The sequence below is a fragment of the Homo sapiens genome, chromosome 12 (genome assembly GCF_000001405.40).
Source record: "Homo sapiens chromosome 12, GRCh38.p14 Primary Assembly".
Classification (NCBI taxonomy): Eukaryota; Metazoa; Chordata; class Mammalia; order Primates; family Hominidae; genus Homo; species Homo sapiens.
In genome coordinates this window covers 116,881,442-116,882,878 of record NC_000012.12, presented here as the reverse complement: position 1 = coordinate 116,882,878, position 1,437 = coordinate 116,881,442, and the positions used below count along the sequence as shown (strand labels likewise).

The following is a 1,437-nucleotide window of genomic DNA, read 5'->3' as shown; positions in this document are numbered from 1 at the left end:
AGCTACTCTGTGAGCTAGGGCAAGAACCCTTACCTACCTGTGCCTCAGCTTCCTCATCTTTGAAATATTATAGTAATTGCATGTAGAATTGTTGGGAGATTTACCTTTAGGCAGCAGAGGCAAGGGCGCCCAAAGCCCACAGGTGCCAGACATAGAAGATGCGCAGTAGGTCTTGGCCATTATGAAGCCTAGAATAATTGGAGCTGGGTGAGGGAAAAGGCCACCAGAATCACACAGTGTTGTGGGCTTTGAGCCCTGACTTTGTTGTCATTTCACCACGCTGTGGGCCAAAAGGGACATTTCTCCTCCTGATCAATTCAGACCAAAACTAAGTTCACAGACTCGAAGAATCTTGGTTATACTCTGCGGTGGGAAGGCAAGAACGGAAGCTCCCTCAGCAGGTTCCAGACTCCCAACTTGGAGCCATCTCTGGACTCATCCCGATGGTCTGAATCCCAAAGTTGTCTGAATCCCAGTCGATTTAAGATCACAGGTTTCATTCTCCCCCACAGAATCCTGACAGCCGCCCAGCCCATCTGAACCTTCACCGTTTGTGACAACTGCAGACGCTCCAGTCTGGAGGTGCACAGGAGTGGCTGTCGGATTGGAAAAGGGGGAATTAAAGTCCCCCGCGCCCCTCCTCTCGCCGACCCCTTAGGGTCTCCACTGCGCATTAAATCGGGGTCATCGCAGAAAACTGTAACGCCATCAGGAAAATAATGTTCACAAAGAAAGCAGACAAGAAGTTTCCCTTTAGAAAGCCCCTTGCGAGGGTCTTTTGGGTGCGGGTGCCGGGCAGCGAGAATGCCTCCGTCCGCGCCCCACGCGAGCTCAGGTGGGCCCATCCAGCCTCCCACCGGGCGCTGGGGGCACTTTAGGGTCAGGTTTCTAGCCAGGCGCTGGGGGCACGTTAGGGTCAGGCTGAAAGCCTACAGGTGCCAAGTCAGACCTGAAACGAGGCAAGTTGGGTGTAATCTGACCCTTCCATAAGATTTTGAATCCACCCACCTCCCCCAAACAAAACAACAGCCTCGGAATATTTTTGAATAATGCAGCCGAATTCAGCATCAGCTTCATCCAAAACGGCAAACAAGCCTTTTTCCCTCGCCAAATCGGAACTCGAGCTGAATTCAGGAAAAGGGGAAGGAGAACAACCTTCCCTCGCGCTCCGCGCCTCCGCGGGGGTCCCCCGAGACCCCCAAAGCCCAGGACCTCCGCTGCGGGGAGCCTTCTCGCGCCGCCCCGCGCCGCGCTCCCCGTCTCCCAAACCTCGCGCTCCCTAGCTGCCGGCGCCGCTAGGGTTAAAAGTTACCTCTCGGTTTCTTCTGCCTGCAGCCCCCCCCCCAACCCCCGGGGGCCGGATGATGTAACCCCCCTCCCCGCCCCCCTCCACCATGTGACACTTTAATTAATAATAGCGCCGTCAGCACAACAAAC

At 55.2% G+C, this 1,437-nt stretch overlaps 1 annotated feature.

The window, feature by feature from the left end:
• Window positions 284-1,245: an enhancer, noted in NCBI's record as "H3K27ac-H3K4me1 hESC enhancer chr12:117319439-117320400 (GRCh37/hg19 assembly coordinates)". NCBI's record gives its function as "activates a minimal SCP1, AML or CMV promoter by ChIP-STARR-seq in naive H9 embryonic stem cells {active_cell/tissue: H9 hESC(naive)}" and the evidence as "EXISTENCE:reporter gene assay evidence [ECO:0000049][PMID:30033119]".